Below are 22,047 nucleotides of genomic sequence, written 5' to 3'. Positions count from 1 at the left end.
TTGGATTTGTGGCTTATCACCTACTGGCTGTGAAACCTTGGGCAACTTACTTAACCTCTTTGTGCTCAGTTTCTCCCTCTATAAAATGGGGCTAAAAATACCATCTGTCTCAAAAGGCGAGGGTAAGGATTAACTAAGGTAATATTTGTAAAGTGCATAGATCAGTAACTGGCACATGGCCCAGAGTTCTGTAAGTGTCTATTAAATGAATAAAGAAAAACATGTGGCAGCCTTAGGGAGGTGCCACTCAGATCTTCTCTGGACTACAGTCACTGAGAGCCTCCAGCTGCAACACCTTTGCAATCTGCCATAGTTGTCAGCACAGCCACTCTTCCAGGACAGGCCGGCTGATGACTGAGCATGGTGGGAAACTAGGGTCTGCCCTTCTGTCGAGCACGGGACTCCTCTACAGGAAATCTTTGCACAGGAGCTCCCTGTTGGGTTGGCTAGGACTTCCTTAGACCTGCACCATGGCCTGAGGCTCCTCTTCCCCAATCTTTCTTTATTCCACCTCTCCTTTCACAGTATCAGACCTGCATCCCTCTCTGAAGGCTCTCCTCCATTTCTCACGGTGTTTTCTCAATAAATCTCTTACACTTACACCTCCATTTTCACATCTGCTTCCCGGAGGACCAAAGTGACACAAAAGAAAACACAGCCTTCCTCAAATTTCAGAGGACCTGCCACATGCCCTTGGGCAAGTCATCTCTGTGATGAGCCTGAATGAACAGAGCTGTGAGTTTGTTTCATCCTGCTCCTACCCTCTTTTCTTTGGCTCAGAGGAGGTGGGTCTGATAAAATACACTGGAGAAATGGCAGAGTAAGTGAAGCTTACCGGAGAGAGAGCCCCATCAGCGTGGAGCGGATGCATTTGTGGCTACTCTCCTCCTTGGAATTCATACAGAATTCCATTACCGGGTCTGGACAGCAGCTCAGGGACCATCTTGTCCCATTCCCATTTGACAGACAAGAAAGCTGGGGCCCAAAGGGGAGGGCAAAGGGAGCAGAAGCAGGGCTGGAACTGGGCTCCTGACTCCCAGGTCAGTGCTCCTTCCTGACCCCATAGAGTGAAGCCAGTGAATCATAGGATGCCCCAACCCCTCTTTATGGATGTGCAGGGTGAGGCCCAGGGTGGCTCTGCCAGCCACCTAGGGTCACACAGCCCTGAGACTCACACCTAGACCCTGGGAACTGCCCTTCTTCCTGATGGGCAGGGCACAGTTGAAATATGGAAGATGCCAGAGCAGACGAGGTAGGCCAGAGAGGGCTAAGCCTGCAGCCAGCTAGACCTATTATGCCAAGACCTGGGGCTCCTGGGCAGGAAGGCAGTAGGCCATGAAGACATGGGACACTCTTTAGCTCCTCTGTACAGTGACTATGTAGCCATGAACCAGTCATTTCAATAACAGCACCTTCTCCCATGAGGCCATGGTAAGGCTTAGATAAGTGAGGATATGTAAATAGCAACTGTCAACATTTATCAAGTTATTGTGTGCCAGGCACTGCTCTAAGCACTTGATGCCTATATTATCATTTAATCCTCACTGCAACCTTGTGAGACAGGCCCAATTTATACACCCATTTTACAGATGAGAAAATGGAGGCACAGAGAATTACACAGTCGGGAAATGGCAGAGCAGGAATTTAAACTGAAAATAGGCTGACTCCAAATCCCTCAATCTAAAGCCCCAGGCAAGGTCACCTTCTTCAAAGGGAAAGTGCTTAGCACACTGCCAGGCCTGTGGGGTGGCTCTGTAATGTTGCTGGCGATGTACTAATAATTATTATTGCCACTGGGGAAATTCACAATGCCAACTTCCCAAAAGTCAGAAGAATGAATAGTGAATATCCTGACATGGTTTACTAAACTTCAGCATTTCTTCTATTTGGAAGTAAGTGACAGTTAGCAAGTGCTCAAGATAAATATTTGTTGAACTATTTTTTTTTTCCTGAGATGGAGTCTTGCTCTGTCACAAGGCTGGAGTGCAGTGGCGCGATCTCAGCTCACTGCAACTTCCACCTCCTGGGTTCAAGAGATTCTCCTGCCTCAGCCTCCCTAGTAGCTGACACTACAGTCGCGCGCCACCATGCCCAACTAATTTTTGTATTTTTAGTAGAGATGGGGTTTCACAATGTTGGCCAGGATGGTCTCAATCTCTTGACCTCGTGATCCACCCGCCTCAGCCTCCCAAAGTACTGGGATTACAGGCGTGAGCCACTGCACCTGGCTGAACTGAAATATTTTATGATCTTTTTGGAAAACACAAAAAGAAGGGAGAGGGAAACCCCATAGTTCCAGACCCTTATTTCACTCTTTTGTGTGTGTTTATTTTTGTTTTGGTTCATGGTTGTGAACGTGCTGTGAGAGGTTTCTGTATTCTGCACCCCTCACTTAACACATTTTATGAGCTTTTCTCCCCAAATGAGAATTTTTAATGGCTGCAGAATACTACATGGAGTGAACGTCTTCTTCACAACCCTCTCCTTGCTTTCTCCAACCCAGGGTTTTTATTACCATCTCTGATGCTGCAGCGAACATCCTTGGGAATAAAAGTTATTTCCTTATTTCATGTGACTTAGAGAAATTAATTCCCCACAGTGAACTTCCTGAAACCAGTAAGCTGGGGTGGGGGGAGGTTTGGGGGACAGAAGGCCCTTCCTGGTGTCCTAGTGATGAAATTCTGCTGGCCATTGTGTATTTCATCCATACTTAAGGCCTCCTCCCCTCTGAAGGTATTTTGGAACCTCATCTTCAGGGCTCAAGGCTTCTTCTCATATGCTAAATGCACCCACACCACCTTCCAACCTGTGGTCAGAGACCTGGGGTTCTATCCTCAACCCGACACTAGTGGGCTGCAGGACCTATTAATACACCATTTCTGTGGGGCTTCCTTTGATCAGTTAAGGGGTGGATCACTATCTTGCCCAGTGAGAACAGTCCAGTCCCAGCTCTGTCAAAAGTTGCTGTGACCTATATTCCTTTTTAAGGACTCTGGGATCCGTTTTGCCATCTCTTAGATGTGAGGTTGGAGAGGTAGAACCATCAGGCAGGTGGAGGTGAGCTAGATGACACCCACTTGCCTTATTTACCCACAGTGAACTAGGCACCCCTAGAGGACAGAGATCCAAGTACCCAGCACAAACTAAAAAATATGGCTATACCACAATTGTCAATGACTGAACAAATAAGCAACTTCCTCTATGTAAACAGTGAAAAGTTATTCTCCAACCAATAGGTCTACTTAGTCACAGTTGTAAGCTATAGTTATAGGCTGAATCTCACCCCTACAATCATTCATTCTTTCATTCACTCATTCATTTGGGATTTATGGAGTAATCTCTGGGTCTGGCCCTGCTAACATGTTGAACTCATCTTCCTTCCCTTCTTGCTGTCCTCAGCTGCTCAAGCTCATTCCTGCCTCAGAGCCTTTGAACTTGTGAAGCCTCTGGCTGGAGCACTCTTTCCTGGGCTCCTTCCATGGCTGGCTCAAGTCTAGGTGCACATGCCACCTCTCCCAGGAGACCCTTGCTGGTCACCCTGCCTAAAGGCACCATCACTCTCCATCATCTCACCCTGTTTTATGTTCCTCACAGCACTGGTCAACTATCTGAAAATATATTGTTGATTTAAGGATTTTCTTGCTTGGTGTCCATCCACTCAATGAATGGACAGCTGCAAGATCAGCTGCAAGAAAGCAGGGACCAGAGATGCCTAGTTCACCACTCATTCCACAGAATCCCACTAACATGTAACAAATGAGCGCTGCATGCTACAGGCAAAACTGCATATATAGAACCCTCAAGCATTGAACTCCTACCATATGCCAGTCACCATTCCAAGCCCTTTATATGTAGTAACTCTTCTAACACTCCCAACAACACTTAGGTAGTGACAATTATTATTCCCATTTTATAAGTGGGGAAATTGAGGCACAGAGCGGTTGAGTAACTTGTCCAAGGACCTATGGCTAATAAGTAGGGGAGCTAGAAGACCCTCATGCACACTGTTAAGAGTGTGTTAAGCCATACATGGGACAGAGTCTTTGTCCTCATGAAGCTCAGGGACCAGTGGGTGAGTTGGCCCAGTCTGCAATGATGGAAGTCAGGGACACCTCCTGGAGGAAGTGACCCCTCGGCTGAGTCTTGAGAACAAGTAGGGGTTTCCTAGGGTGAAGTGCAGGGAAGGACTCTGGGCAGTGGAAATGGTATACAGGTCAAGAGAGCTGCAAGCCCAAAGCACCAGTAGGCACCTATGGCTGGAGCAGAGAATGCATGGGCGTGCCATGAGTCAAGGGTGTGGTCACTTCAACTCTCAGTGACAGAGGTTTAAAAAAGTCCCATGGGCAACATGGTGAAACCCCGTCTCTGATAAAAAGACAAAAAATTAGCCAGGCATGGTGGCGCACCCTGTAATCCCAGCTATTCAGGAGGCTGAGACAGGAGAATCACTTGAACCTGGGAGGCGGAGGTTGCAGTGGGCTGTGATCGCGCCATTGCACTCCAGCCTGGACAACGAGAGCGAAACTCCATCTCAAAAAAAAAAAAAATTCCCATGGGCAAGATATGAGGCAATGCAACAGGAAAGATGGTGGGGGACCTCTAGACCATGCAGGGCCTTGGCAAGATCAGGGGCCCCCATTGTTTTGGACCTGCAATGTTTTTCAATGTTTATATATAGGGAGTAAACTGCCTTAATTCCTTATTTCGGTCAGGGAAAACAATCTAAAACCATACAGGGCAAATTCAATGGCAAACCTTCTGCTTCCACATCCTTGCATCTTTATGTCTTTTGAAAATATTCAAGGCCAACAGATCCTGCATTGGAAACTCTAACTTATTATTATTATTATTATTATTTTGGAGATAGGGTCTCGCTCTTTCATCCAGGCTGGAGCGCAGTGGTGCCATTACAGCTCACTGCAGCCTCGAACTCCCAGGCCCAAGCGATCCTCCCACCACATCCTCCCAAGTAGCTAAGGCCACATGTGTGCACCACCACACCTGGCTAATTTTTTTTTTTTTTTTAACTATTTGTAGAGACAAGGTCTCACTATGTTGCCCAGGCTGGTCTCAAACTCCTGACCTCAAGTGATCCTCCTGCCTCAGCCTCCCAAAATGCTGGGATTACAGGCTTGAACCACCACGAGGGGCCCCAGTTTTATTCTGAGACTTCTGGGCTACACCTCAAGGACCATGATAGGCCCTGATTCAGTGGTGCCCAGAGGCCACTGAGGTCTCTGGCAATTGCTGCTGACTCACTGCATGACCTCAAGCACCTCCAAGCCCTCTCTAGGTCTTAGCCTGCAAACTGGTATTGGATGACCCAGTCCCAAAAGGACATCCCCACTCCACCAGCCTTGCATCTCATAACCAGAATTCCATTGACAGCGAGAGCCTGGAATTCCTAGAGTCTGATTCTGGGACTCTTGTGCACTGGCCATCCCACACTTGCTAAAGCAGGTCCGCCACCATGGGGCTTTGCCCAGCACCCTCTGGGCAGGGGGCTGAGCTCTCCTGCTCCTTGGTCCTGCCAAGATATGGGGGCTCCCCCAGGTTTGGGTCGGACTGGGGGTGGCGGGTCTGCTCAGATCCTTTTAGAGACAAAGGAGCTGACCTGCAAAGAGTTCCAGCAGGAGCCCCGCTCCCCCTCCCTTCCCCCCTCTCCCTTCCCAGTCCACGTGTCTCTATTGTCTGCTCCCCGCTTCAGGGAAAGACACTGCCTCGGATGTGTCAAAACCACCACCCCCCGGCAGCAGGAAAATTAATTACTGGACGATTTTCACTTCCTCTTGCAGCGCCCGCCTGAGCTAGGCACCGGAACAGGACCAACCGAGCAAGGCCAGGCATCGGCGTGGGGGACTTGCTCCCCCCACCAGTTCTGGAAGAAGAAAGTTGAACCCCAAACCCAACAGGGGGCTCCAGTGGGAGCCCGAGCAGGGGGGAGGGGAGACTTACTCTAGTGAAAGCTGAGCGTCCACCCTGGCCACTTCAGAACTGGGGGAGAGGGAGAGGACTGGAGGCGGGAGGGTGGCCGCTGGCCAGTGCGCACTCTTTCCTCTGCATCCCCTTCCCTGCGGCCCCATGTGCCTGAACCCCGCCTGCTCGGGACCGCTTTCCCTCCGTTCCCCTCGGCTTCCCCCTCTCTTTTGCACTTTTCTTTCCCTTTCTTTGCATCCCTGGGGGGGTTTCCTTTTTGTGTGCCTGGATTTCTCTTTTCCTCCCGTGGGTGTGTGTGTGTTGCTACTTCTCTCCATCTCTGTCTTTCTTCTCTCTCTGTTTCTCTCTTGTGTCTTTTTGTCCTTATCTTGGTCTCTCTGCTTCTATTTCTACCTCTCTCAGCGTGTGCGTCTCTCTTTCCCTGTATGTCTCTGTCTTTCTCCGAGTCTCTCTTCTTCTCCCCGCCCCCCTCACTCCCCTTTCTCCGTCCCTCTCTGTCTCTGCGCCTTTCTCGCCCTCACTTTCTCCCCTCCTGCCTGCTCCGGGCCTGCCCCCACCGCCGCCGGTTCAGGGGAACGTGTGCGGAGCGATTGTCCTGGGGGACATTTGATGGATTAGAGCGCCGAGCGGTTCCATTGCTAGGGGACCACCTGATCTCCAGCCTGCGTCCCATATAAAGCCGGCAGCCGGAGTGCTGAGCGCAGCTCCCGCGATCCCCTGTCTGCGCGCCGCCGCCGCCAAGCCCGAGCCCGAGCCGGGGCCGCCGCCACCGGTGCCGGCTCCGAGCGGCCTCCCGCGCTCCAGCCCGCTGGGAGCTGTCCAGTGCTGAAAACCCGCGCGGACACAGCCGATCGCGCCCGGCCGGCCGCCTCCCCGCACCGAGCCCCGCGCCGGCCGCGCCATGCCGCGCTCCTTCCTGGTAAAGAAGATCAAAGGGGACGGCTTCCAGTGCAGCGGGGTGCCGGCCCCCACCTACCACCCCTTGGAGACAGCCTACGTGCTGCCTGGCGCCCGGGGGCCTCCCGGGGACAACGGTGAGTGGGACCCGGCGGGGGCGGGGGGTTGGGAGAAGAGGCGAGGGGAGCTGGGGCCCTCCCCAGCTTGGGCCACGAGGAGGGGCGCGTGCGACAGGAAACCCCCGGGAGGAGATCTCTCTGGCCGTGGGCTCCTCCCGGGCTTTCCAAGGGCCGTGCGGGCGGGGCAGGGGCTAGGTCGTACAAAGGGAAAGTCGCGGGGTCGGCCCATCCCGCAGCCACGCGCCAGCCGGGACTTTGAAAGTTGTGGCCCTCAAATAGGGCTAGAGTGAGGGGGTGGCAAGAGAACACAGACGGGGCTGCTCGTGAAAGGCCAGCGCTGGGCACTGAGGCACAAGGCACTTTGAGGGTTCCCTCTCCCCCGTTGAGGAAGAGAAGCTGGCTGCCCGGGAAGGGGGAAGGTAAAGAGCCCTGGATGTTCAGTCCCTGGAGAGACAGGGTTGGTTCCCTGGGGGTGGCTGGGGGCGCCCTCCCTCCCTTCAAACCTGCTCCCCTGCCGATGTCACACAAGTGCTCTCAGACCCCCTCTCTCAATAACTCTTTTGTTACCCTCAGCCACATGCCTGCCAAAGGCTGGGCCTGTCCTGGGGACTGCAAGAAAGAGAGGATTTCTGGGAGGGGTTCCCCCAAAGTGGCTCCTGGTCCCCTGGATTGCACTCCTTCCCCATCCCCAGCTTCTCAACCCCCTCCAGAACCAACCCTGCTGCTCCTCGTAAGCCCCCTCCTCACTACACATACACACACACACACACACACACACACACACACACACACACACACTCCATCTCTTCTCAGAACAAGTTCCTGCAGGGACAAGGGTTTGAGGAACAAGAGAAGTCATTCAGGTGCAGAAGGGGGTGATCTCTGGAAGGCAGGGGAAAGTGGAGACTGCTTCTGTGGATCCCATCCTCCACCAAGGGGATCACAAAGGGGTTCTCCCCTGATGGCCCCCACCAGGGCAGGTGTCTGAAGAGGAGGTGTCCCTTTGGTAGTGAGAGATCTGACATCACATGTGGCAGCTTTGGGTTGTGTGTGTGTGTGTGTGTGTGTGTGTGTGTGTGTGTGTGTGAGAGAGAGAGAGAGAGAGAGATGGGGGTGGGGAAAGAGAGAGAGAGAAAGAGGGAGATTGAGAGAGGAGAAAAGAAAGGACTGAGGATGAGGGGGGAACTGAGATGGCAAAGACAGGAGCCTGGGAGGATGGGGGCTTCCACCTCTGGGATTTCCAAGCACTTCACCCACATTCCATCACTCTGCCACACCAGGTAGAGAGAGAGAGAGTGCTGGGCAAAGGGCTTTGTGACCTCATCAAGGTCAAAGAAGTTACAGAGTGATCAGGGATACAGCTACAGCCCCTCATCCACTGGCATCCCCCAGACCCTTAACAGAAACCCCTTCTCCTCTGCCCACATGTCCCTTATTCTACTGTCCTCTTTTCTTGATCACAGGGCCTCTTGAGGTGGAGGTCAGAAGCCCAGGGACATGGCTGAGCAGGGCTGAGGGCTGGCAGGACAGAGGGTGGACCTGGGGCCATGCCAAAGCTGGAGAGTGTGCGCTCAAAGCTGGTAGAAACTGAAATATCTGCAAGCTTGGGATATGGATCTCTTAAGGGACTGACACTGACACAAAGCTCTGGGATTCCACCCCCTGAAGCCCCGTTGGTCCTGTCCCCAGGCCAGCTGAGGAAACCCAGAGAAGCCCAGAGAATTTCCCATGCACAGCCAAAACTGCAGGCTGTTCCTCAGGAGGGAGGCAAGAGAATGCCTTGCCTTGAATTCAGTCCAAAAAAAAGCTTTGAAAGGAGCCCCTGAGTGAATAGTGGGAAGCAGGGCGGGTGCAGAGCCACCAGCAGGGTGTTTCTGCAGAGGTTCCACCGGGTTTAACACCCTAGAACCACCTCTGTCTTTGTCCCCTTCCCCATGGGTCTCCAGACCAACTCCCTCACCTCTCAGGAATCCTGAGGCTGTGCTGATAGCCAGAAACCTGGCCTGAAATTTGGAGGCCTGGGCTCTAGATCTCTCACATGCTGTGTGACCTTGGGCAAGTGCCTTCCCTTCTCTGGTCCTCAGCCTCCCCAGCAGTGAAAGAGTTTTGATGGCATAAACTAAGCATCCTTCCAACTTTGACAAGCTCAGCTTCTGTGAAGGTCAACTATGGAATGTCAGGCACTGGAGATGCCTGCACAGGGGTCTAACAGGATGCTGGGAGGCCACTGTCAGGGTTTCCTTAGGGCTCCACTGAACATACGCCACCTGGCTGAGGGTAGCGGCATTTCTGGGATCGGGCACTTTTCTTGGCTTTGGTCTCTGTAGGCTACCCCATAGTGAGGACAGGCACCCTGGCCTGGCCACCTTGGCAGTGTCTGCAGTGGACGGTCAGTGCCAGAGACCAAGCCTAGGTATGACTGGGAAATACAAAGTCTGCCTTGTCTTGTTTTCAGGGGCCTCTTCCCTCCCTGGGGTGCGGCCAGACTGGGCAGTGAGGGATCCCTTATTCCCTGGGCGGGTGGAGGGTGCTGGGGGTCTGCTGAGAGCCCGCCGGCTCCTGGTGGCCCGTTGTCTCCGCTCTGCCGGAAATAACCTTGCTGAGCATTTGAGGGAAGTGTGAAAAATTGCTGAGCCGACGTTTTTCTCTCTCAGCGTGTGTAAGTGTGCTGGGTAAACAAGGAGAAAGAGAGGAGGGGGGGAAGATGAGGAGAGGGAGGGAGGAGAAGCAAGGGAGGGAGGGAAGGAGAGAGGGAGGGAGGGAGGGCGGGGGAGGCCTGGGGCTGGAGATAGTTCCAGTTATTAGAAAGATCTTCTTACAAGCCATTCCTGCAGCTCGGGCTGCAGGGTCAGGATGAGGCTGGCGGGAGGGAAACCTGGGTCGGGGGAGCAGGGGTTGGGGGAGCCTGTGAATGTGGAGGTCAGAGAAACCACAAGCTCCTAGCTGATAAAGATGCAGAACCCCAAATTAAAGAGGTGTACCCCAGCTCTGGGAATGCCTGAGAATGCTGGAGAATTCCTGGAGGACTCCTGCTCCTCCTCCATACACACACACGCACGCGCGCACACACACACACACACACACACACACACACACACGAGCAATGCTCTTCTTTGCCTTCCTACTCCCTTTCAGCCTCTACCGCCAGGCAGAACAGAGGGTGCAGCAAGTCTGTCTGTGCTCCAGGGTCCCCCCAAGCCCACAGAACTCCTAAACAGGGAAGGGGAGCCCCTCAAATGAAGAAAGCACCAGGTCTCTCTGCAGAGCTCCCTGATAAGTGGGAATAGATCTAATTTCATTGTCCCCTCAAGTAAGATGCCTCTCTTGCTCCTCCACTGCTTTCCCTTCCCCTCTTCTCCCCTGGGTGATTCTGAGCACAGACTCAGTCTTTCTGGGAGATGCCAACTTACATCATCCTAACCCTCTGCTAACCTCACCCTCCAACTCCACCAGGCCCTCCCCACAGACCGGGGCCCCCATCTGAAGGATACTGGGACTCTCAGCCACCCCAAAGAAGGTGGCCCACCCACATGCATGTCAGTGGTCTCTGTGGGCCCCTGCCAAGAATATCTTCTGGAGTGTCTGCCTCCCCTCCACCTTAACTCCGAACCCCAGCTTGGAGCCAGGCCCCCCTTCCTCTGCATCCCCGCCCTGTCCTGCCCTCCTGCCCTCTCAGAGTGCATCCAACCCAGGCAGATGAGGGATCAATGCCAATCCAATAACACAGTTGTCTGCCCTCTGCAGCTACATTAAGCCTCCCCCAGCAAGCTGAGGAAACTCTCCTACTTCTACCCATGGGCTTATCTAGCTGACCACATTAAACCAGCGCCCACTTCCTCTCACTCCCTCTGATGGTGCCGGGTAGTCGCTCCAGGCCAAGCCCGGGAGCCCGGCCCAATGTCCCCAGCTGCCACACATCCATTCCACACCTCAGAAAGCTCCTCTGGGGAGCAGCAATGCAAAAGGGCTTCCCCAGTCTTTTGGAAGAGCAAGCACAGAGAAGGCTGGGGAGGTGCCCATGGACACACAGCAGACCCATCTGAGTCTTCTCTAACCACCCCTTTCCCTGGTAACTTGGCCTTGGTCCAGGTCCAAGGTCCAGGTTAAAGACATGTCAGAGGCCCAGGTTCAAAGTCTAGGTCAAGGTCCAACATTCAGTCCAACATCCAAGTACAGATCTGAGGTCCAAGTCCAATGCCTACGTCAAACTTCAGGTATAGGACCAGGTCCAAGGACTAGGTCCAAGGTCAGTGTCTGAGGTTATAGGTCCAGGTCTGCTATCCAGGACAAATCCATGTCCAATTTCAAATTTCAATACCTATGAACAGGTCCAGGGCAAAGTGCTGGGTCCAGAATCAAGATTCAGGCCCAGTTTCCAGTCCAAGGTCATTGTCCAGATCCGCTCTCAAGGCTGGGCTGAGTTCAAGTCTTAGACTCACCATTAGCCTTCTGTGTGGCCTTGGCCTAGTCTCCCCTCTCCTCCCAGCCTCTGTTTTCCTTTCATAATATCAAACGGTTGAATATGATCTCTTTCAGCTTTGACCTTCTAGGGACCCAGAAATCTAATATTCCTGTGAATTAACAGGGCTCAGTGGAAGTGTGGAATGATGAGGCCCATGTGAGATATGGAATCTGGGAACCCCTGATTTCCTCTAAAGCCTGGGGTTACGAGAGGGACGTGAGGGTCCTGAGCTGAGCTTCCACACTTTAGATAGTCTCAGTCTTTGATTGCTGAAGGAGGGCCAGAGAGTACACCAAGTCCCTTATGTCAGTACAGCAATCTACACATCCCAAAGGCACTCTCTGGCCACACAAATCCACAGTGGGCAAAGGGCAGCGGGGGGCAGGGGAGGATTCACTCCAACCTACAGAGGCAAAACTGAGGTCACAGAGAGGCCGTGACTTGCCCAAAGTCACAAGAGCATAAACGGTGCACCCTGTCACACCTCCCTAGTGGGTGCTACATCCACAGGTTTTAGGGGCCCCCACAGCCTGGAGGCCCTCTGCCGGGAGAGATGGGGTCCCTCGGGCCTCTTGGTCTCTTTCCCAGCTGTGGACTCCCCTGAAGTGAAGCGTCTACTGCCAGGCCAGCCTTTGGATAGGGAGGGGTTTGGAATGGGCCCTCTGAGTGCACCCTTCTAGAGAGAGAGGCGGCAGAGCAGAAAGTAGGAGGCCGGGGGAAGAGGTGGAGCACTGCACAACACACCCAGTCTCCGGAACGAGGCCCAGAAAGGGCCCACTGGAGATCCCCCCCGAGGGAGCAGGAGGCAACTCTACGAACCCAGGCTGGGCAAATGAAGACCCTGAGCCACTCACTCTCATCTCCATACCCCCCTGAAAAATCTTTCCTATTGATTCCTGCAGAGCTCTGGACCTCCCTGTAGGCCACAGGAATTGGGTCACAGTCAGGAAAGACCAGAATGTGGGGAATTCCAAGAGATGGGGGTGGTGGGGAAAAGCCTTGAAATTCTCTCAAAGTTCCTTGGGCCTGGGTCAGTGGGCATCAGCCCCAAGCCATGCAGCGTTGGTCATGTTGGGCCAGACCTCACTCTGTCCCCTGCTCATTTGGGCACAGGGACCTCCTCCCCGTGGGCAGATGTACCAGCTGCCAGGCCTTTGGAGGAGGTGGGTGTCATTTCTGGTCCAGTGCCCAGGGAACCGCTAACAAAGATGCTATAATAAGGGGAGGGGGAGGTACCCAGCCCCTTTGCCCAGCTCTGTGAGCAGACAGGAGAAACTATTTTTATCCCGCTTTGCTGCTGACAGACCTGGCTTTCTGCTCAGCTGGCTGGAGCTGATTCTCGAGGCCCGAGGCCCTGGCACAGCAAGAAGCAGCTCTAAATATACCCATACAGCAGCTCCTCCAGCCCCTACCACCCAGCAGGGCCCAGCCCTCCTCAGGAAAGTGGGCCGCCGGGGAAGCTGGCCCCCCACCAGGCCCCTGTCTTTTTCTGCCCATTTTAGGACAGAGAGGTGAGGCTGAGGCTAGGAATTCCCTGGAGAAAGTTTGGCACCTTGGGAGTCTGGGAGAGACTGGGGAAAGGAGTCCTGGACTGAAAAAAAGGAAAGAAAAGGAGGCCAACCCAGCTCTGATGAGAACTTGTTTTGTGACCTGAGGTGGGTCAAGGCCTTTGTCTGGGCTTCAGCTTCTGCAGAACAAGGGCATGGAGGGAAGTGACCTTAGACATGAGCTAATGTGCACAAAGCATTTAGCAGGATGCCTTGCACCAAGTAAGTGCTCAGTAAGTGATAGGCATTACTGTTATTAAGTATGATTTACAAATACTTACAAGAGGCTGAAGCATTTTCCACAACAGCTTCTCCATGCCCCCACCACCCCGTGCCCCCACCCACCCCACCACAGGCTAACTAGGGAGTGTTTGAGGAAACGCACCACCCCTTCCCCTACCAATTGAAGATCTCTTCCCCAGCAAGTCTCCATGCCCTCTCTGGTGTTTTGGAAAAAACACAGGCCTTGGAGGGTTTCAAACCTGCCGCCTCCCTCTCAGTGACCTTGGGCAAATCCTCTCCCCTCTCTGGGCCTCTGGGCACAGGGCAATGTCTGGCTCACAGGGAGGCTGGTGCTAGTTGGAAGCACCAGCAGTAGCAGTAGCAGTATTTGTTACACATCCCCCTCCATCCCCGCAGGGGGTCAGGCAGCTAAATGAGACAGTGTCTGCAGAGGGCCCAGCACCTTAGTTCTCATAAATTTCCCTTTCACCACTCCTTTGAGTACCGATTTTTAAAAAGACAGATTCTGGACCTTCAGTCTAAAATATCAAGACTCTTGGGCAGGGAAAACCAAAGTCATTTCCAGGTGACATGTGCACATCTCCAAAGTATTTCTGGGCCCTCCCCATATCCCTACATGACAGGGGTGCCTCTGGTCCACATTCCTCAAATGGAGGATTTGAGCCCAGATAAGTTATGCGACTTACCCAAGGTCACATGGCTACGGCCTGAATTCAAGGGCTAGGATGAGAGATCTCACCTGAGATTCTCTTTTCTCTGAATCCCAGCTCATCCCTATCTCTGTGGGAACCCAAACAAGAGTCCTGTCTCACCCTGTCAGTTGCAGGATAGGTATCTCAGCCTTCTATAGTCACTCTTAGGGCAGAGGAAGGTACCTGTCTGGGTTCCATGCATTAGGTTAAAGTATGGCTTTTAGTGTCCTAAAGGAGTCTCCAGGGTTGAGGCTCAGAGAGGTGAGGTGGTTTGCTCAAGGTCACACAGCAGCCTAAGACACCCATGTGTATCTCCTACTCTCTGGCAGATTAGAAGGATATATCACCAGGAAACACAGGAATACTACCAGTAACAATAATAACAGCTCAAGAGGGCAGCTATTATGTGTCAGGCATTGTCCTAAGCACTTTACATGCATTCATTTATTCAGCCTTATTATGAACTCCCTTATACAGGTGTGGCAGAAAGATGTTAAGTAACTTGCCCAAGGTTGCCTAGGGAGATGTCTGTGAATCTGAGGAAAACGGGGTGGAATTGGAGGAGCTGGGAGTGGAGGGGACAAAGAGCATCATGGAGGGACTGATTCAGCCATGATGCAGAAAGGGTCTTTAGACCATTCCAGTCCATCTTTGTCATGTATAGATTCCGCCCAGAAAGGTTAAGCAACCTGGCCACAGTCACAAAGCAAGTTAGAACCACCTCCTCCTAACATGACCACACAAACTCTCACAGGATGCTCTCAACCCATGCCAAAATCCACTGACTGGGTGTCTGGTCTGGGCTCACAATTCCTATCCTGAAGACACTTCTGCAGCCCTCCCTAGGCAAATGAGCAGCCTTTGTTGAAGGCACCCCTATTTCTTCATAAAGAGCCCCTTGCAACAGGAGGAAAGTCAACAGCGCTGAGGGCCACCAGCAGAGGGCGCCATGGGCAGAGCACCTCATGGAGAACGCTCTGGTTCACTGATGGAGCTCCTACTATGCACCAGATATTTTCCCATCAGAACGTGAAATAGAAATTACACATCCCGGGTGAGGAAACAGAGGCCCAGAGAGGAGCAGCACGATGTGTTGGGGCAGATGCCAAGAAAGCTGCAGCACAGAAACCCATCTGGGGAGATTGTTATTATTGTTCATAATAACAGCCAACATGCGTGGTGGATTTAAAATGTGCCAGCCACTGAGCTGGAATCCTGGCTCTAACTTATCAGCTGCACAATCTTAGGCTTGTTACTTAGCTTCCTTGTGCCTTGGTTTCCTCTTCTATAAAAGGGTACCTACCACCTTGTGTGTCATGGGGGTAGAATGCTTTCATGTGTGGAAAGCCCTTGTAAGAGTGCCTGACACAGGAGTGCTCTGAGAGTGCTGGTTATCATTTGTTTATATACTGTTTACTGGCAGACCCCTTACTGAAACGGTAGAGTCACACAGAGGCCAAATCGTTTGGCCAAGGTCACACTGCTGGGAATGGTAGAGCCAAAACAATCCAGGCCGTCTGGCACCAAAGTTTTACTCTTATCCAATATGTCATCCTTTAATAATAGAACTCAAAGCACTGGTTACGTGATCAGTCACCCCTCCAGATAAATCCCATTTTAAAAAAAAAGGACCTGAAGCACAACCCACCCAAAGGCACTCAGCTGGAATCTGTGTTGGAGAACCAAACCACCCTTCCCCTTCCATGGCCCCAGACACATGAGATGCAGACCTGCCCTGAGACCAGGTGAACAGGACTGTCTATACCAGGTCCTGCTAGGCTGGGGAGTGAGGCTGGCCTCGCAAATCATCATCACTCATTCCACAAATACTTATTAAGTGCCCACTAGCTAGGGCCCTGGGAATGGGAGGTGAACAGCTCAGCCACAGCCCCCTCCTGGAGGACCTCCCAGTATGTGGGAAACCAAGGGGGCAGTGGATTCCAATCCTTGCTCCACCCCTGGAGCAAGTGCCATCACCACACTGTCCCTCAGTTTCCTTATCTGTGATGAGAGTAGTTTTGTGATGATTCAGTGAGATGATGGGAGCGAAGCACTTAGCACAGAGCCTGGTGCACACAGTAAGTGCTCAGTGAATATTAGCTATTATTATCATCACCAGGAATTACAACGTGAGGAAATACAGAAGGAGAAGGAGGGGGGTCTGGGAGTGCCTGACGGGTATTTAACTCAGTCTGAAACAACACTCCTGAATGTTCTGGGACCTGAGTACCAGGCCTGGTTCCCGGAGTGGGAAGCAGGGGGACCTCCAGACCACAGGCAGATGGGACGGGAGACATAGGGTGCGGAGAGGCTGGGCATCTCCTCTCCCCAGATTAAAAAATTGCCACTATCACTATCCCCCTTTACATCCAACCACAGAGCCCCCCGCTTCCGAGTCATCCACTTCCATAATCCACAATGACTTCTGTGTGCAGAGGGCCCTGTGCTGGCTGCTGAAGGGACAGAGGTAAAAATAAGGGCACACCCTTGCCTTCAGGGGCACACAGACTTCACCCTGTGTCCATCCCAAACTCCAGATGAGAGGCAAAGGCCTGGAGGCTGAATCAGCCAGGCTGTGTGGGAAACGAAAGCTGACCAGAGTACCCAGCTAAAAGTCTGAACATCTTGAACCCTGTTTCCCCTTACAAAACCCTCCTCCACCTGCTCACTTCAGTGAAGGAGGCTAGGGGAGGAGGGAAGGAGGAGTGGTTACAGGTCTCAGGGGTCACCAGGAGAAGGTCAAATCCCACTCCCCAGGTGGGAAACCTCCCAAACGGACCTAACCTTCATTGTTCTGTGGAATCACAGAACAATGGAATCACTTGCCCATCAAGTGCCAGGATGAAAAGTTTGTCTGCCAGAAACTCTCCAGGGAGCCCAGCCCCCAGGGTCTCAGGGAAGGTGCTAGGACCAGCCTAGGCCATGGGAGGCAGAGGCAAATCAGAATGGCCCCTGCCCATGAGAATCCCCTACGGAATCCCCAGGGAGACCCCAGCCTGCCCACCCACCAATCACTCAAACCCTTGGCAGACAGGATTCCTGGTCCAACTCCAGCTAAGTGGGAGGAGGAGGGGGAGGGGAATTCTCACTGCGGACTTCCGACGACTTCTAGAGCAGGCTTGGGAGCAGGTGCGAGGAAGTCCCCTTTCTGTAGCACCTATTACATGCCACACACTTGACCCCTGTTAAATGCTTCAGCAACCCTGGCAGGTGGGTCTAACTGGATTGTGATTCCTTCATGCAACATCTATTCATCGCACACCTACTTTGAGCCAGGCATGTGCTGGGCACACAGATCCAACCATGGGGAGCTCACAGTGTGGTGGGGGAGGAAACTATCTCCAAGCAAGTAAAAAGCATAATTATAATAGCTAACATTTATATAGCAATTACTGTATGCTCCCCCACCTTTGTTCATTTCCTTACACATCAAATGGGGATTACAATAGTGCCGACTTCCTTGGGTCTGTGACGATTAGAGTTAACATGCGTAAAGCACCGAGGCAGAGTCTGGCAAACAGTAAGAGCTTAACACACGCTTATTATCGTCACTTTACTCAGTCCTTCCAACGACCCTGGAAGGAGGTGTCCAATCACAAGCTCCATTTTGCAGATGAGAAAACTGAGATCCAGAGAAGTTACAGGGCTGCAACGGCAGCATGTTGTTGGAATAGAGACAGCATGGGCTTCAGGGTCACACTGGCAAGGGCTCCATCACTTCCTGACTGTAAGGTTAGACTGCTGCATCTCTCTGCGCCTCAGTTTCTCTACCTGTAGCGTGGGTATTATAAGACCATCACTCCGCGGTTGTGAGCACTGGATAGTGAAGGTACGCTCTGTACAACCGTGCTGGCCCCATGCTCCGTGGGTTGGGGTGGCGGCTATTTGCACTGCCGTCGATGGAGGAAGGAATTGAACCCAGGCTGCCTGACAGGAAGAGCTGAGGTGCAGGTCGGAGACCACCACTGTCGGAGCTGCCACAGGGGCGCCAAGCTGGAAGGCGCAAAGGGTGACGCGCTCAAAGCGGGAAACCCTCTTCGGCGCCTCCTCTCACCGCCCCTCCACTTCTCGCCCCCTCCAGGGTACGCCCCGCACCGCCTGCCCCCGAGCAGCTACGATGCGGACCAGAAGCCGGGCCTGGAGCTGGCCCCGGCCGAGCCCGCGTACCCGCCGGCGGCGCCGGAGGAGTACAGCGACCCCGAAAGCCCGCAGTCGAGCCTGTCGGCGCGCTACTTCCGAGGGGAGGCGGCAGTGACCGACAGCTACTCCATGGACGCCTTCTTCATCTCGGACGGGCGCTCGCGGCGGCGGCGGGGCGGGGGCGGCGGGGACGCGGGGGGCTCGGGAGACGCGGGGGGCGCCGGGGGGCGCGCGGGGCGCGCGGGGGCGCAGGCGGGCGGCGGGCACCGGCACGCGTGCGCCGAGTGCGGCAAGACCTACGCCACGTCGTCGAACCTGAGCCGCCACAAGCAGACGCACCGCAGCCTGGACAGCCAGCTGGCGCGCAAATGCCCGACGTGCGGCAAGGCCTACGTGTCCATGCCCGCGCTCGCCATGCACCTGCTCACGCACAACCTGCGCCACAAGTGCGGCGTCTGCGGCAAGGCCTTCTCGCGGCCCTGGCTGCTGCAGGGTCACATGCGCTCGCACACCGGCGAAAAGCCGTTCGGCTGCGCGCACTGCGGCAAGGCCTTCGCCGACCGCTCCAACCTGCGCGCGCACATGCAGACGCACTCGGCCTTCAAGCACTACCGCTGCCGCCAGTGCGACAAGAGCTTCGCGCTCAAGTCCTACCTCCACAAGCACTGCGAGGCGGCCTGCGCCAAGGCGGCCGAGCCACCCCCGCCGACCCCCGCCGGCCCGGCCAGCTGAGCCTTCCGCCTCGCCCTCGCGCCCGGAACTCGCTCTCCACGCGCCCCGGGCCCCCTACCTGCGCCCGCAGCGCCCTCGCCCAGCCCCGGCTGCGTTTCCCTGCCCATGACCCTCTCGTGGGGACCCCCGGCCCGGCCCGGAACTTTTCTCCCCAACCCCCAAACCCACGACTCACTTCCACACCGTCTTCCCCAGCGTCCCCCGACCCACTTCATCCTTTCCGGCCATCCCTCGGACCTTGACCCCCCTGTCCGCGCCTTCAAGGCTCCCAACTCAGGCACCAGGTCCGCACCTCTCCCGCGCCCCAGAGCCGGAAATTTCTCCCTCCCAGACCCCGCGCTGCTCTTCTAACTTCTAGATCTTTTCTCTCGCTTCTCAGCTGAATCTCTCTGACCATTCCTCTACTGGAGCCCCCAATGAAAGCCGCAAACCTATACCCTTGACGCCCATACCTGCCTCAGTTTCCCCATCCACACCTGGACGCAGGCCCTGCCGCCCTGAGACCACAGTCCAACCCCAGACCATCCCTCTGGCCTCTGCTGAATCTCCCAGAGTGTGTCCATCTGGGGATCTAATCTTCACCCTTCTTGAAGTCTCCGATCTGTCCCTGATCCCATCCATGCTCAGGCCTTAGGTCTGGCCATTCACACACACACACACCCCCACACCCCACTCCCACACACAGTTCCTACTGTCTTCAGTCCATGGGGATCTCATCACCCACTCCCAGCCCCAGCTCCAGCTGCCCTCACCTCTCTAGCAGCTCTCACCCCTCTGAGTCTACCTAACCTGGAGGGGGCTTGAGGGGCACTTCAGGGCCCTGCCCCCTAATGTAACCCCTCTCTCACCCCGGCACAACCTGGGCTTCCACAGTCTGGAGCTGCCCTACCCCCAGATTCTCTGAGCACTTTCCCCCATCCCCAGGGCCACAGATCCCCTTCCTTACTTGTTGGGGGGAGGTCTGGAGCACCTCGCCAATGCCCTTCCCCCATCCGGCTGGGTCCTTCCAGTTATTTATTTGTGTATTTATTTATTTATCTATTTATTATTCTATTTAATCTCTTGGCCTCACCCAGGGACCGTCTGGCTTCCCCAGCTGGACTGGGAGGTCAGGAAGCCAGGCAAGGAGAGGGACAGCACAGGCCACAGAGGGCTGCCCCCACCACACACACCCCCGCGTCTCGGGAGAAACCCACCCTCTTCAGAGCCTGCACTCGCTAAGGAAGGGGACTCGAGAATGGGGGGGCAGCTTGCTGACCCTCAACTGGGGGGGTGAGGGAGCATCAGGAGGTCCAGGCGTGGGGCAGGTCCCCACCTTCCTGAACCTTCCCCTGCCACTCCAGGCGGCCCGGAGAGAGGAGCCTCTTCGATTTGTTTCCTGTTTATTCTTCTTCCCGAGGGACCCCAGGTTCCAGGGACCGACTGAGCCCCGGACCCGCTGGGGCCTCTGGCCTGCTCCCCGGGAGGGGCGCTCTCTCCCGGCCATGTCTATGCAACTCTCCCGGACAGAGGGGCCGGGCTGCCAGCCACCCGCCCGTTGGCCGCCACTACCTCCTCCGCTGCGCTTTTGCATGCCCGGGCGAGGACCGAAGCACACACCTCCACGCGCACGGGCCCTGGCCCCCTCCGCTTTAAGCACACGCCTCTGCCCCATTGCTCTGCAGCCAGCTTGGGGGCAGGAGTCCTGGACTCTCAGATCCTCCTCTCCCCTCCTCTTAGCCACAAAAGAGGGGGGAGACTGGAGGCACCCCTGCAGCAGGGGCACTTCCCTAGGGCTCCAGAGGGGTGAATGGGCCTTTGCTCAGCTCCAGGCCCAGCGGGAAGGGAGGCTGCAGGGATGGTGGGAGGGAGAGGGGTAGCAGAAGCAATTATGGAGGCGTTGACCCTGTAAATAGCAACTTCTGACAGCAATAATTTTCCATGCATGCTAAGCCTTTTGGCCATATTTTGTATGAGCGCTTGGCGCTCCTCCTCCGTCCTATCCCAACTCACCCCCAAACCCCCATCCCTTCCCCACCTCCAGCAGTATTACTTGTAACGCAATTCAGGGATATTAAAGGGACTTTGGCCACTCACCATCGCCTCTAGACCTTCTGATTGGAGCAAGGGGTGGGGATGAAGGGGGGGAATGAGACGAAGGGGAGGGCATCTGAGAGATACTACTTTTCCACTCCATTTTCCTCTCTGTAGCCTGACCAGCCTGTAGCTGCCACCAAGGGTCACACAGCCCCAAGGGTCCCTTGGCATTTACAAGTTCTCAGGCATCCTCAATCCTTAATACTCCTCAAATAAGGGTTTAAAAACCAGATTAATAACATGTGAGTGAAGCCAGTTGCCTTAAGACATTAGGGAAGGTGAAGCCTGTGACTAATTGGAAAGAGTGTCTCACCTTAGAGAAATAGGATTCAAATTAACTACACCCACCAAACAGTTAAAACTGTGGTCCACATGTGTCTGTTGACAGCCAGTTTACAACCCCTATAATCTTCCCCAGTTCACCCCCTACTGCTCTGCCTAGTCATATATGGTCACATATTCAGTGAGTGGAAGCAGGCAAAAAGGTTGACTTTGGCTCAGCTGGAAAGTTGTCCAAAAACAGTGACTTGCCCCTAGAGCTTCTGAGCTGCCTGTCACCAAAAGTGTTCAAGGCAACCAATCCATCATCCTCGATAGCTGCCTTAGTGATCCTTCAAGATACAAATCTGTCTCACCTTACTAAAAACTTCACTGGGGACCACCAACCCCTGCCACCTACCCTCAACTCAGACTTACCAAGAAGCATAACCTGCATGCTTTGAGGGATGGGGAAGCTGCAGGCTAGAATCTGCCTCCTCTGGGGCCTCTTTGTCAGTTTCCTCCTGTGTAAGCAGTGCACTCAGTTTGTAGACTGCCTCCCTGGTGCCTGTCCGCCTTCCCTTCACACCCCTCTGGACAAGCAGCTGCATCCTGAGCAATGTGCTAGCTGTTTTTGACAGCAGCAGTTGTGGGAACCTCCCCACAACTCTGCAAAATCTCCAGTGGTTTCTTGTTGTTTTTTTTTTTGAGACAGAGTCTTGCTGTGTCACCCAGGCTGGAGTGCAGTGACGCAATCTCAGCTCACTGCAACTTCTGCCTTCTGGGTTCAAGCAGTTCTCCTGCCTCAGCCTCCCAAGTAGCTGGAATTACAGGCATGTGCCACCACGCCCGGCTAATTTGTTTTTGGTTTTTTTTTTTTTTTTTTGAGATGGAGTCTCGCTGCCTTGCCAGGCTGCAGTGGTGTGAGCTTGGCTCACTGCAAC

General features: G+C 54.2%; 1 protein-coding gene across 1 annotated transcript, besides 4 other annotated features; it reads left to right on the top strand.

The window, feature by feature from the left end:
• On the top strand, positions 6,638–20,844 carry SCRT2 (scratch family transcriptional repressor 2). Its single transcript, NM_033129.4, has 2 exons — positions 6,638–6,971; positions 17,979–20,844. The coding sequence occupies exons 1-2, from the start codon at positions 6,839–6,841 to the stop codon at positions 18,767–18,769; spliced, it is 924 nt and encodes a 307-aa protein (NP_149120.1). The 5' UTR covers positions 6,638–6,838; the 3' UTR covers positions 18,770–20,844.
• Positions 6,689–6,768: a silencer, noted in NCBI's record as "silent region_12583". NCBI's record gives its function as "represses an Ori minimal core promoter by ATAC-STARR-seq in GM12878 lymphoblastoid cells {active_cell/tissue: GM12878}" and the evidence as "EXISTENCE:reporter gene assay evidence [ECO:0000049][PMID:35858748]".
• Positions 8,897–9,410: an enhancer, noted in NCBI's record as "H3K4me1 hESC enhancer chr20:653674-654187 (GRCh37/hg19 assembly coordinates)". NCBI's record gives its function as "activates a minimal SCP1, AML or CMV promoter by ChIP-STARR-seq in primed H9 embryonic stem cells {active_cell/tissue: H9 hESC(primed)}" and the evidence as "EXISTENCE:reporter gene assay evidence [ECO:0000049][PMID:30033119]".
• Positions 19,706–20,318: an enhancer, noted in NCBI's record as "H3K27ac-H3K4me1 hESC enhancer chr20:642766-643378 (GRCh37/hg19 assembly coordinates)". NCBI's record gives its function as "activates a minimal SCP1, AML or CMV promoter by ChIP-STARR-seq in primed H9 embryonic stem cells {active_cell/tissue: H9 hESC(primed)}" and the evidence as "EXISTENCE:reporter gene assay evidence [ECO:0000049][PMID:30033119]".
• Positions 20,319–20,932: an enhancer, noted in NCBI's record as "H3K27ac-H3K4me1 hESC enhancer chr20:642152-642765 (GRCh37/hg19 assembly coordinates)". NCBI's record gives its function as "activates a minimal SCP1, AML or CMV promoter by ChIP-STARR-seq in primed H9 embryonic stem cells {active_cell/tissue: H9 hESC(primed)}" and the evidence as "EXISTENCE:reporter gene assay evidence [ECO:0000049][PMID:30033119]".

The sequence above is a fragment of the Homo sapiens genome, chromosome 20, assembly GCF_000001405.40.
Source record: "Homo sapiens chromosome 20, GRCh38.p14 Primary Assembly".
Classification (NCBI taxonomy): Eukaryota; Metazoa; Chordata; class Mammalia; order Primates; family Hominidae; genus Homo; species Homo sapiens.
This window is presented reverse-complemented; position numbering and strand designations above follow the sequence as displayed.